We start from the raw sequence: 14,323 nt of genomic DNA on the forward strand, positions 1-14,323 counted from the left end.
ACTACAGAGGTGAAAAGTGAGGCTCAAAAGCTGGTAAGACCTGCCTGGAGATGCTAAGAGGCAATGTTTGTATTTGAACACACGGAGCCTCTTTCTACCTGCCTGCTCTTATCAGTTTCTTCGCCTCTATGCTACCTGCAAAATGAGAGCAATTTTAAAGGTGAAATCTTACAATACTTCCTGTAACTGGGACGTCTATTAAGAAGTCCACCAATTTCATGTCCTATGTTACCATCAAGGCAGGTCATAAATTACATGATTTGGGCATTCGCTCTCTCATAGCAAAGAACTGCGCAAAATACAGAGGCTGCAGCCCAAATGAGATGCACCCTGCTGAAAAGAACTCACAATGCCCTTCATGGGGGAGGGAGCCTGGCGCTTTATTAAGAGTCTACTGTGGCTTCGTGAATATAAAGGGAAGAGGAACACAGCAAGCAGGGCCATCGTGGCAGATGGCGACAACAATCACCAGATGAGCCAATGGGAAGGGAATCCTGTCGTTGCTGTGAAGAGCCCTGACAAAATACGGGCTTTCCAGGACATGTTACCATGAGCAGAGGCTGTGAAGCCAACACCCAGGACAACTCAAGGAGAGAAGGAAAGACTGGGCCAGGGGATGGGCAGCTTTGACAGATGTCAGAAGGGTTTGCAGTGGGTGGACCTGGCCTCAGGACCCCCATCTTAAAGCAGAACCGGCTCCTTAAGTCCTCTCTTTCATCTATTCATTCACTCACTCATTCATTTCTTAAGCACCTGCTAAGTGCCCAGCATTGTTAGGTGTTGGTGATACAGCTGTGAACAAAAATGGAGACCATCCCTCCCCTGTGGAGCTTCTGATCGAGTGAAAGAGGCAGAGATTACCCGAATAATCAGTGTGACCACTACAAACCGAGGTCAGTGCTGTCAACCAAGAAACACCATTCCATGTGTGCAAATAAAAACGGAAACTGAGCTATGCTGGCAGTCAGCAAAGGTTTCCATGGGGGAATTGCTGCTTGAGCCAGACCTGCAGGATGAGCAGAGGTTACTACTCACGTGAGGGCTCACAGCGGGAGGCATTCAGACAGAGGGAGTCACACATGCAGAACACAGACAGATGGGGTGGGCTTCCATCTATCTGGTTCTTAAGACAAGCCTGACTACCCGAGGAATTCCCTGGAGCTCAGCCTCCCGTGCAGGCTGCTCTAGAATTGGCTGGACTGCTGTATTCTTTGTGATGTGTCAACAGGCACCCAGAGGCTGTCCCTCAGCTCTATGCCCTTGTACATGCTGTCATCACCTCCTGACATCCCTGCCTTTTTCCTCAGTCATTTCGGCTCATTTTATCAGATTCCACTTATGCATCACCTCCTCCAAGAAGCCCTCAGTAATTCCTTCCCCTAAGCTGGCTTCGGTGCCCTTACCTATGGCCCCACAATATCTTCTGCATGTCTCCATCACAGCATGAGGTATTGCAGTTATTTGTCTAAACAGTTCCTGGTATATGGCAGTCATTTTATGAGTACTGGTTAGCATACATAGGAAAGGATTCATATATGTGTACTGTATGTAAAGTGATTTTAAAAACAAGTGGGGAAATATAAAGACCCAGTTGGAAAAAGGGGGAAAAAATTGAAATAACGGCTAATATTTATCAAATGTCTACCACAAGCCAGCGAATATGTTAAGGGCTTCCTATAAACGAATTCATTTATTCTTTACCCCCAACCCGTGAGGTATGAATATCTGCATCTTATAAATTAAGAATCTGGCCCACAGAGGCTGGGTCATTTGTTCCAGGCAACATGGCTGAATGCCCCTGACTCGCCACCACTGTTTCCACAGCAGGATGGCACCCGGGCAATGCCCAGGGAGAGACACAAGTGGAAGGAACATGAGAAGATGCTCACCCACATTTAGAAACTAAAATTAAAACAACAGGGCCTGGAAAAGCATTACAAAGACTGGCCCTAGCCAGGTTTGGCAGGAGCAGGTCCCTTTGTAGGCAGCCCAGATGGCCATCACAGAGGAACAGTTAAGTCCCTGCACACCGTAAATCCCAAGCAGCCAAAAACAGGGAGGCCGTTCCACACGTCCTGACTCAGAAAGAGTTCCAAGACAGGCTTTAAGTCAAAAAAGAAATTGCAGGACAAGGTGTTCTCACCACCTTCAATCTTTACTCGGATGTCAACTTGGTGAGGCCTTGGCTAACAGATAAATAATGGATAAATGAATAGACAGACAGATGACAGACAGATATATACATATCTATACCTACATACATGGAGAGAGAAAGAAATGGGATAATTCCTGTTCATCACTCAACAAACAAATATTTAAGTAAATATGTAATATAATCACATATATAATATATGGTATGTAATAAAGTACATAGATTTAATATATATAAATACATATACATATATATAAACTTAGAGAATAGTCCCAAAAGATCCATAAGGAAACATTAACAGAAGTCACCTCTAAATAGGATTTGGGAAGGGAGAATATGGAGACTTTAATTTCTAAAATGCTTATATTTTCCCCAGCATTTCGGGAGGCCAAAGCAGGAAATTCACTTGAGGTCAGGAGTTTGAGACCAGCCTGGCCAACATGGCAAAACCCTGTCTCTACTAAAAATACAAAAATTAGCCAGGCACGGGGGTGGGCACCTGTAATCTCAGCTACTCAGGAGGCTGAGGCAGGACAACCACTTGAACCCATGAAGCAGAGGCTGCAGTGAGCCGAGATCACCCCACTGCACTCCAACCTGGGCGACAGAGTCAGACACCATCTCAAATAATAATAATAATTTAAAAATAAAATTAAAATTAAATGCTTATATTTTCCATACTGTTTGAATTTTTTACAACTCACCTATTTGTAACTTTAGAAAACAAAAAGAGAAGAGAGGAGAAGAGAGGAGAGGAAAAAGTAAAGAAAAAAAGAAGAACATTTTAGGGACCTAGATATACCACACTGACAAATTTGTCTCCTCTTTCTTGAAACCACTCTAAAATGGCAGTAAAAGATTTTTTTTTAAGTATTAACACAAGCAAAAGTAAAGGAGAAGAGTCAATAGTGGGTGCCACATTTCTGCACACTGGAAGGTAATGGGAAGACGACAGGCCAAGGTGACCGGCCTGGCCGAGCAGAGGAAGCATCCAGCAAAGTGCCAAGAAGGGGAAGCAGATACGACGATATATTGACCCCCAAGGCCCCACAGCCCAGGACTCAGAGGCCCCACGGACCATGGAAAGTGGCTCTGCCCTCACTGTAAGACTCAGGACAATGGTCCTCAGAACCAAGTCGGAAGTGGCCCTTTAGATGTCCCCCCTCCACCTCACTGCCGTCTTGTGGGGACAAGGAGCCGCGTCAAGCAGATGGTGGGAGATGGTGGCACAGATCTGGGGCAGCAGGGAACAGACAGGTGTAAGCGTGGAGCCATGAAAGCCAATCAGAGGTCAGTACCTGGATCTCCCTCAGCCGGGGGATGCCAGAATTGGGAGCTAGGACATCGAGAGAGGCCAAGCAGGAGGGTCGGTGGGCAAGACAGCTAACTCTTATCCTCTGGCTGGCTTTGTGGCCTCAGGCAGGTGCCCCCACTGAAAGCAGAGCCTGTGTTCTCCCTCCCTGCATGGTCGCTGCAAAAGCTCCCTGAGCACCTGTCGGAACTTGGACAAGGAGCCTCCAAAAATGAGCTGAGTATTTCTGCACACATGGGCTGTGGTGACACATGGCTCAGCCATGAGGAGAGTGAGTGCACACCATGAGGGTCTTGACTGCAGAGCGGCCACGACCCTGCCCAGCCAGACACATGCTCTGAGGAGCTGACTCGGTCCTGTGAGGCCACCTAATCTCACCCGTCTCCATGCAGGAATCCCTCTGCCTAAGTCTGCCTAAGTCCACCCAAACAACCCAAGACATGGGGCACAACAACCTCATCAAGTAGCTCATGCCACTGGTGGGCAGATTTATTAAACTGGTGTATTCAGAAATATGCTTTAAGTCCTCTCATTTCCTGTCTTCTTTTCCCTCAACAAAAGCACATGACAAACCCTCACATGAAACAAATAAAACAGGAGTGATATGGTTTGCCTGTGTCCCCACCCAAATCTCATCTTGAATTGTAGTTTTTATAATCCCCACGTGTGGTGGGAGGGACCCAGTGGGAGTTGACTGGATCACGGGGGGCGGTTACCCTCATGCTGTTCTTGTGATACTGAAGTGAGTTCTCATGAGATCTGATGGTTTTATAAGGGGCTTTCCCCCGGTTGCTCAGCACTTCTCCTTGCTGCCACCACATGAAGGATGTGTTTGCTTCCCCTTCCGCCATGATTGTAAGTTTCCTGAGGCCTCCACAGCCCTGGGGAACCGTGAGTCAATTAAACCTCTTTCCTTTATAAACTACCCAGTCTCGGGTGTGTCTTCATTAGCAACTTGAGAATGGACTAATACAAGCAGCTACTGTGGCTGACATGGAGAAGGGAGCGCTGGAGTCCACCCATCTGGCTTCTCACCAGGAGGCCCTCAGAGAACCCCGGGGCTCCGTGGACGGCAACGTCTTAATGACACGAGGTGCGCAAACCTATTTCCAGGCTCATTTTGCCCCAGGGTCTCGATTTTCTTTCTGGGACAGGATGAAAGAAAGAGAAGCCATGTTGCAACATAAAAAGTGTGAATCGAGGCCTCGAGGCTGGCGCTCCCAGGAACACCACACCACAGTCGGGTTGCACACGAGGAAGATAAAAGGGGCTCTATACACAGCATAGTCAGGTTGCGCACGAGGAAGATAAAAGGGGCTCTATACACAGGGGCTTGCCTCACCAGCTGTTCTTCCACCACCTGGAATAACATGAATATCTAAAGAAGGCTGCCTCAGGATTTTGTCTCCTGGGTTCTCCTCTTCTAACCAGTCTAGGGTTGTGACTTTCCTCTATGGCATCCCTGACCCCAGTGGAGGCTTCTCTCTCCTGCCGCAGCCCCTACCAAATCTCTTTTCTTTGATGTTTCTCTGGAGTCACCCACACCCTGGGCTCCTTATTAATAGCTCTCCAGGGAGCAGACAGGTGGGTATAGGTAGTAGAGGTGTCTGGGGCAGCCCTTAATGGAGAATGTCTATCAGCCGAGCTGCCCAGTGGGTTTAAAGAGGGTGGTACAGAGTTACGGACAAGCCAGAGGAAGGCCAGAGTGGCTGACATAGGGGCCAGAACCAGATTTTGGTATTTCTGCCAGTTCATCAAAAATTTAGGACCAGTCCTTCCATGGATGACCTGCATTAGAGTGGCTGCCACAAGTACAACAGGGGGTTCCCTGCCACCCAGGCCCCTCCTGCACCTGGCCCCAGCCTGTCTTTCAGCTGTCGCCCAAGTCTTTCCCTAAGCACACCAGCCCCTGCCCCAAACGCATCTTCTCACCAACCAGCAAACATGCTCTGGGCTCTCCTCCTTTGCCATACCATACCTCTTCCCTGTGTATCTGAATTCTCCCCAATCTCAAAAGACAGGAGTGAACCAGCCACAAAGAGGAAGTTACAAAGAGTACTTGAGCATGCAGAGAAAAAGCTCAGCTTCAGTGGAGACTAAAGAAATGCAAATAAACGATACCGAGGCTCCTCTTGTTCCCCTTAAACACACACGTCTGGCAAGGCAATGACAAAACTAGAAAATTATGCCTCACTGGTTATTATTCTTTTTTGGATGGAGTTAGAAGGATATGGTAAAATTAGCAGTATAATCCTGCCTCTGGGAATCTAGTCTAGAAAAATAGTCCAGAAAAAAATGAAAGAAAACCAAAGATGTTTAGACCTAACCTAAATGTCCAACAACAAGAGACTGGCTACATAAATCAAATATTGCACAGGTTGGGTATACCTTATCCAAAATGTGTGGGATCACAAGTGTTTTGGATTTCTGATTTTTTCTGATTTTGGAATATTTGTATTATACTTACCAGTTAAGCACCCCTAATCTGATAATTGAATGCTCCAATGAGCATTTCCTTTAAGCATCATTTTGATGCTCAGAAAGTTCTGGATTTTGGAGCATTTCAGATTTTGGACTTGGGGACATTCAACCTGTATATCCTTCTGAAAACATATAAATGGCACTACTAAAATTCCAATATGAAGAGTTGCCCAATATGGAAATAGACGGAAACAGACATACGCTATATTGAGCAGAAAAATCAAAATACAAGTGTTTTCATACAAAATGTTACACACACACACACACACACACACACACACACACAGAGAGAGAGAGAGAGATGAGTAGAACAGGCTTTCCCTTTGTGTGTGATTAAGATCTAATGATACAGTCAGATATCACAGGATAAGGTGATGTAAGAAAGCCATTTTAAAATGCCCAGGAAAAGAAAGAAAGGAAAGAAAGAAGGAAAGGAAAGAAGGAAAGAAGCAAAGCAAAGGAAAAGGAAAAGGAAAGGAAAGGAAAGGAAAGGAAAGGAAAGGAAAGGAAAGGAAAGGAAAGGAAAGGAAAGGAAAGGAAAGGAAAAGAAAGGAAAGGAAAGGAAGAAAGAGGACCACAATTCTGGCTCTACCTTGTTACCATCTGGAGGCTGCAGGCCAGCTGCCTAACTAACTTTGTAAAGCCTCCATTTCTTTATGTGCAAACCAGGGATAAAAAGACAACCTACTTCATAGAATTGTCAGGATTAACAGAGCTGCTAAATGTAACATCCTTAGCCCACCAACACCTGACTCATAGCAAGGGCTTAATAAATATCTGTTGTTGGTGCAATTGCTGTTATTGTCATTATTAACAGCAGCTCATTGGGCACTAGGAAGGCTCACGCTGGCTTGTACAAAACACTGTCATGCAGTAACTGTCGTATAGAAATGCATCCTAGGATTAGATAAGTGTTTTGTGTCTTGTAGGAGGAGCTGCTTGCTCCCATCTCTAAAATCAACAAGGGAGGCCGGGCGTGGTGGCTCATGCCTGTAATCCCAGCACTTTGGGAGGCCGAGGTGGGTGGATCACTTGAGGTCAGGAGTTCAAGACCAGCCTGGCCAACATGGTGAAACCCCATTTCTACTAAAAGTACAAAAAAATTAGCCGGGCATGGTGGCATGCACCTGTAATCCCACCTACTCAGGAGGCAGAGGCAGGAGAATCGTTTGGACCCGGGAGGCGGAGGTTGCAGTGAGCCAAGATCATGCCATTGCACTCCAGCCTGGGCGACAGAGCAAGACTCTGTCTCAAAAATAAATAAATAAATAATTTTAAAAAAATCAACAAGTGAATTTAAGTCAACTTCAACACTTTCCAGTTATATCAAAGTCCACACCAAGTAGATTATTTCATTTAAACAAAATAATTATTTCGCTTAAATGAAATAATCTACTTGATGTGGCTTTTGCTATTTCTTCTAGCATTGAAATAAGCTTTGACAATTAAGGTAGTTTCCTTCACAATGCACAGATGTGCAAGTGCACTTAAATGAAATAATTTTAATAATCTAGACGACAAAATTAACATTTCCTTGTTACCAGCAGGTTTCTTGCCCATTCAAGAATACAAACCCATATGCATACCCTTTCTTCCCCTCAAACTCTCCTAAATGCCTGTGGTGGGATGAATAGCAAATCCTTAAAGATCTCATATCCTAATCCCTGGGACCTATGAATGTGGTACCTGACATGGCAAAAAGGACTTTGTGAATGGGATTAAGTTAAGGATTTGGAGATGGGAGATTATCCTGTATTATCTTGGTTGGTTCAGTGTAATCACATAAGTCCTTGTAAGAGGGAGGCAGGGGGCTTGGAGTCAAGAGAAGGAGATGTGAGGATGGATGCAAAGGTTATAGAGATGAGGGACCACGAGCCGAGGAGAACGTGCAGCCTCTGGAAGCTGGAAAAGGCAAGGAAATGGATTCTCCCACAGGGCCTCCAGAAGGAGCACAGCCCTGCCAATGCATTTTAGATTTCTGACTCCAGAACTATAAGGGAAGAAGGTGGTGTTGCTTTAAGCCACCAAGTTGGGAGGAATTTGTTACAGCAGCCATAGGGAACTAATACAGCGTCCCTTGGTTCACTAAGAGTACCTCGATTTCCCACATGGGAGCCTGGGTTCACGAGTGGGCACTGTGGTTCCATTCCAGCTCCACCTTCTGTGACACTTGGACTAACTCAAGCAATGCACGTGTCTTCTTTAAGCATTAATTTTCCAGTGTAGAAATGGGGGCTGTCGAGGAAATTCAATGCACAGCTTCTTGGAGAGCATTTAGAAGGCTCCCTTGCACATGGCAAGCAGTAGGGAAACGGTAGCTGTTATTTTTCATCCTACTTGCTAGCTTCTTTTTCTTCTCCTTTTTTTTAAAACAAAAACAGCTTTACTGAGATTTATTTTACATACTATAAAATTCACCCATATAAAGTGCACAATTCAGTGATTTTTAGTGTGACTTGCAGAGTTGTGCAACTGTCCCCATAATCTAATTCCAGAACATTTTCATTGCTCAAAATGAAATGCCGTACCCATTAGCAGTCATTCCCCACTCCCTCCTCCCCTTAGCCCCTGGCAACGGCTAATCTACTTTCTGTCTCTACAGATTCACCTATTCTGGACATTTGACATAAGTGGAATCATATCATATGTGGTTTTGAGGTTCATCCACGTTGCCGCATATGTCCACTATTCATTGCTCTTTATGACTGAATAACATCCGTCGTCTGGGAAGACGACATTTTGTTTATCCATTCATCAGTTGGTGAAGATCTTTGTCCTTTTTTTGCCATTTCTTCTAGCATTGAAATAAACTTTGACAATTGAGGGAGTCCCCTTTACAATGCATAGATGTGCAGGTGTGTGTGTATATATGATGTGTGCATGAGTGTGTGATGTGTACATCTGTGATGTGAATATGTGCATGTGTATGTACATGCATACATGTGTGTGTGTTTTAATCTAAGGCCCTAAGGAAAATCACCAGGACCAGAGGTTCCACCTCCCTGGAATGCCAAGTCAGCATCTCTGATACTACTGAAGATGCCTCAAAGGCAGGCCCAGGGGTGTTGGCCAGAACAATGCCCTTGGCATCTGGGAAAGGTCTGTTGGCTTCAACCTGAATCCCTGAAGTACCTTTCTTCATTTACAAAACTGGTCACAGACCCCCAACAGCTTCAGCATCCCCAGACCCGGCACCACACCCTAATTCCTTCTCTCAGTGCTGTGTCTTACCCTTGCTGAGCCTCAGCTTCCCCATCTATAAACAAGGTTGATCCCAGGTAACCTTGTTATGTTGCTATGTTGTTAAACTGCTCCATCAGAGAACCACTGAGGAAATTAAATCACATTTAGTAGATCAAATACAAAGAGCTAGGCGTTACCTGCAGTAAGACCTCAAGAAATGTTAGCTACTATTGCTACCATCACCACCACCACCACCGCTGCCACCATTATCATCATCATTCATGAAGACTGGCTGCTTTGTGTGAGGAGTCAGGGTGGAGGAAGGCCCTGGGATCCACCTCAATGGGGAGAGTGGCTTTTCACCGACATTAGGAGGTGAAGTTTTATTATTGTTTTGGAACCCTCAACAGGGAGAGCGGCTTTTCACCGACATTAGGAGGTGAAGTTTTATTATTGTTTTGGAACCCTCAATAAGGAGAGCGGCTTTTCACCGACATTAGGAGGTGAAGTTTTATTATTGTTTTGGAGCCCTCTACAGACACTGTACCCGCTTACTGCTTGCTCCTGGGGAGGATCGCTTCCACTCCCCCACTATACCCTTTTTGGAAGTCCCCTGATGGATAGCCATGAGCAAACAGTGCCTAAGACTTTCCTAAGGACATTGAGGGAGGAAAACGACAGCTGAGCAGGTAGGAAAAGCAATTAGTTGGTTTCTAAACCTTGACAGTGGTCAAGACTCCATCATCCTCTTCTGGGCACCAAAATCAAATCCAGAATTCAGGAGCCAAGCGGGGAGAATCGATTCTCCCCTTGGATCTGCCATAGGTCAAGTTGCTCCTGGTTAAAGAGTCGGATTTCCCATCACAGCCTGGCACTTTCCATGTGCATAGGGCGGTGGCCAAGTTGGACAGGGTCTTAACACCACCACATCAAAGGGTTTTAAGTTAGTTCATTAGCACACCTTCCTTACTTGCCACCCTGTGAAAGACAAAAGATTAAAAAACCCTCAAGTTTTTGTTGTTACTGACTTGGAAAAATCATCTGCTTTTAAAAATTGAAAAGGTTAGTGAAAGTGTGTTGGCCTGGGGGTGGGTACTTGAAGTGGGTCAGGAAGAACAGCTGGGCTCAGGGAAGTGGATACATGGATACCTGTGCTGACAAGAGGCTGCCCCGGGAACACCCTTCCTGACCTCTCAGTGGTTCACCAGATAGTGTGGGGCCACTGCCGATGACAGTCAGAGCCTTCCTGAACCAGTTTCCCTGGGCCTCTTCTGGGACAAGCTCCTCACCCAGAGAAGCAGTGGTGATTCTAAAGGCAATGAACTGGGGTCAAGTTCAGGGCAAGGAATGAGATGTTTCTGAAACAGTCGTAGTTTTGAGGAAGTATCAAGGGAACTATAATAAGCCCAGAAGGTTATTCAGGACTTTCACTACTGCATTCTGAAGTGAGATTGACTTGTAATTTGCATTTCTCCTCCTCTCTTTGTCTGGTTTGGAAATCCAGGTCATACTGACCTCGTCACAGGAGTTGGGAGTATTTTCCCATTTTCCTGTTCTCCATAATCATTTGGATAAGGGAGGGGTTATCTGCTCTAGAATGTGTGGTCAGATGATCTATTCTAGAACGTTTAGATTTGCCTGCAAAACCCTCTGGGCCTTGTGTTCCTCCTTTCTTACTTCTTCTGAGGACTTTTTAACAACCAATTCAATGTATTTTTTTTTTTTTTTTTTTTTTTTTGAGACAGAGTCTCGCTCTGTCGCCCAGGCTGGAGTGCAGTGGCACAATCACAGCTCACTGCAGCCTCCACCTCCTGGGCTCAAGTGATCCTCCCACCTCAGCTCCCTGGAAAGCTGGGACTACAGGCATGTGCCACCACACCTGGCTAATTTTTGTATTTTTTTGGAGAGACAGGGTTTCGCCATGTTGCCCAGGCTGGTCTTGAACTCCTGGGCTCAAGCTATCCACTGCCTCAGCCTCCCAAAGTGCTGGGATTACAGGCATGAGCCACCACTCCTGGCCCAATTTCTTTAATAGTTATTTCTCTCTTCAGGCTTTCTAGCCCTCCTTTAGGCTGTTTTGTTGAGTTGTATTTCTCTATGGAAGTGATGATGTTATCTAGGTTTTCAGATTGAGTGGCATGGAGTTAGTCACAGCGTTTCAGGCTCAGAAGCACCATACCCATCTATCAATAAACAAGGAGGTGTCGGCCAGGCGCAGTGGCGCACGCCTGGAATCCCAGCACTTTGGGAGGCTGAGGCGGGCGGACCACGAGGTCAGGAGATGAGACCATGCTGCCCAACACGGTGAAACCCCGTCTCTAATAAAAATACAAAAAAAATCAGCTGGGCATGGTGGCAGGCGCCTGTAGTCCCAGCTACTCGGGAGGCTGAGGCAGGAGAATGGCGTGAACTCAGGAGGCGGAGCTTGCAGTGAGCCAAGATTGCACCACTGCACTCCAGCCTGGGCGACAGAGCGAGACTCCATCTCAAAAAAATAAAAATAAAAATAAAAATAAATAAATAAATAACCAAAAAAGAGCCCACATTGCCAAGTCAATCCTAAGCCAAAAGAACAAAGCTGGAGGCATCACGCTACCTGACTTCAAACTATACTACAAGGCTACAGTAACCAAAACAGCATGGTACTGGTACCAAAACAGAGATATAGATCAATGGAACAGAACAGAGCCCTCAGAAATAACGTTGCATATCTACAACTATCTGATCTTTGACAAACCTGAGAAAAACAAGAAATGGGGAAAGGATTCCCTATTTAATAAATGGTGCTGGGAAAACTGGCTAGCCATATGTAGAAAGCTGAAACTGGATCCCTTCCTTACACCTTATACAAAAATCAATTCAAGATGGATTAAAGACTTAAACGCTAGACCTAAAACCATAAAAACCCTAGAAGAAAACCTAGGCATTACTATTCAGGACATAGGCACGGGCAAGGCCTTCATGTCTAAAACACCAAAAGCAATGGCAACAAAAGCCAAAATTGACAAATGGGATCTAATTAAACTAAAGAGCTTCTGTACAGCAAAAGAAACTACCATCAGAGTGAACAGGCAACCCACAAAATGGGAGAAAATTTTCGCAACCTACTCATCTGACAAAGGGCTAATATCCAGAATCTACGATGAACTCAAACAAATTTACAAGAGAAAAACAAACAACCCCATCAAAAAGTGGGCGAAGGACATGAACAGACACTTCTCAAAAGAAGACATTTATGCAGCCAAAAGACACATGAAAAAATGCTCACCACCACTGGCCATCAGAGAAATGCAAATCAAAACCACAATGAGATACCATCTCACACCAGTTAGAATGGCAATCATTAAAAAGTCAGGAAACAACAGGTGCTGGAGAGGATGTGGAGAAATAGGAACACTTTTACACTGTTGGTGGGACTGTAAAGTAGTTCAACCATTGTGGAAGTCAGTGTGGCGATTCCTCAGGGATCTAGAACTAGAAATACCATTTGACCTAGCCATCCCATTACTGGGTATATACCCAAAGGACTATAAATCATGCTGCTATAAAGACACATGCACACGTATGTTTATTGCGGCACTATTCACAATAGCAAAGACTTGGAACCAGCCCAAATGTCCAACAATGATAGATTGGATTAAGAAAATGTGGCACATATACACCATGGAATACTATGCAGCCATAAAAAATGATGAGTTCACGTCCTTTGTAGGGACATGGATGAAACTGGAAATCATCATTCTCAGTAAACTATCGCAAGAACAAAAAACCAAACACTGCATATTCTCACTCATAGGTGGGAACTGAACAATGAGAACACATGGACACAGGAAGGGGAACATCACACTCTGGGGACTGTTGTGGGGTGGGGGGAGGGGGGAGGGATAGCATTGGGAGATATACCTAATGCTAGATGACGAGTTAGTGGGTGCATTGTGCCAGCATGTCACATGTATACATATGTAACTAACCTGCACATTGTACACATGTACCCTAAAACTTAAAGTATAATAATAAAAATATATAAATAAATAAATAAATAAACAAACAAGGAGGGTGTCAAAGAAGTACATCCTGTACCACCAAGCACTCCTGACCCTCCCCCAGTCACAAAATGTCTCTGTCAGTAATCAGGGCTTGGGGAAATTCTACTGCCTGGAATCCAGCTGGGCCGTGGTATAGAGGCCAGCTCTATAGTTAAATTTGCAGTCAAATTGCCTGAGTTTCTCTCCTAATTCCAACCTGGACACTTGTAACCTCGGTCTCCACCTCTGTAAAATGGGTAGAAAAACTACCTCTCACGACTGCCATGAGGATCACACAAGGTACTTTGGAAACTCCAAGGCCTCATCTCAGGGAAGTACTTATACTCTAAAACTTTCAACCTTACAGCTTTTCATTTCACAAACTTTCTCTTTACAAAGTCTTATGAATGCCAACTCCAGGTGCAGAGCACAAGCACTTCAAGTTTCCTCAATACCACCACCTGGCAGGCACAACACCATCTGCATTTTCATCTCCGCCATCTTGGAGCTCATTAGTCTAGAGCAGTAGTTCTGAAACTGGGCTCACTGGACCAATAGCAGCATCTAGGAACTTCTGCTGGAGGTGCAGATTCTCAGGCTCCACACTACACCTACTAAATCAGAATGCTGAAGGTACACCCAACAGTCTGTGTTTCAACATGCCCTCCAAGGGATTCTGACGCCGGATCCATGTTTGGGAGCCCCTAGATTCTCAAAAGCCATAGGCCACTTCCCATTGCTTGCGCTTAGTTTCCAACTGCCTTTAAAACATGGTTATCCATTATAATCAATAAAGGGAAAAATGATAATCATGTTGAAAGAGTGAGTAGGAAGAGATAAACAAATGTTCTAGAAGTGAAAGCTGAGACGATTTTAAAAGATCAATGGAGAGAAAATGGCAAATGTTGCGTGTGTGTGTTGTGTGGAATGACTCGTTCAATGGTAGAGATAATTCTGCAAACACTGAATCATGCAATGTGTGAGATGCAACGTCTGTGCAGCAGACAACAGTCATCAAGATGCAAGGAAAGGATCTTAAACGTCCTTTCAGAAATGTGGACATGGGGCCACAAGACTGGCATCAACAGTGATGCTCATCACCTTCCTGGTAATTTGGAGAACGCTGCAAGTCTTTATGCTATTCTAGGGCTCAAAGAGAAACGATGGCTC

General features: G+C 45.0%; 1 protein-coding gene across 4 annotated transcripts in view, besides 2 other annotated features; it reads right to left on the bottom strand.

Moving 5' to 3' along the window:
* The window catches only part of CDYL2 (chromodomain Y like 2), a 207,131-nt gene that overhangs the window by 68,216 nt on the left and 124,592 nt on the right, over positions 1-14,323 (bottom strand). The window lies entirely within an intron of this gene.
* Positions 293-1,253: an enhancer, noted in NCBI's record as "OCT4-NANOG hESC enhancer chr16:80700312-80701272 (GRCh37/hg19 assembly coordinates)". NCBI's record gives its function as "activates a minimal SCP1, AML or CMV promoter by ChIP-STARR-seq in naive and primed H9 embryonic stem cells {active_cell/tissue: H9 hESC(naive and primed)}" and the evidence as "EXISTENCE:reporter gene assay evidence [ECO:0000049][PMID:30033119]".
* Positions 5,195-5,244: an enhancer, noted in NCBI's record as "active region_11171". NCBI's record gives its function as "activates an Ori minimal core promoter by ATAC-STARR-seq in GM12878 lymphoblastoid cells {active_cell/tissue: GM12878}" and the evidence as "EXISTENCE:reporter gene assay evidence [ECO:0000049][PMID:35858748]".

Source organism: Homo sapiens, chromosome 16, assembly GCF_000001405.40.
Source record: "Homo sapiens chromosome 16, GRCh38.p14 Primary Assembly".
NCBI lineage: Eukaryota > Metazoa > Chordata > Mammalia > Primates > Hominidae > Homo > Homo sapiens.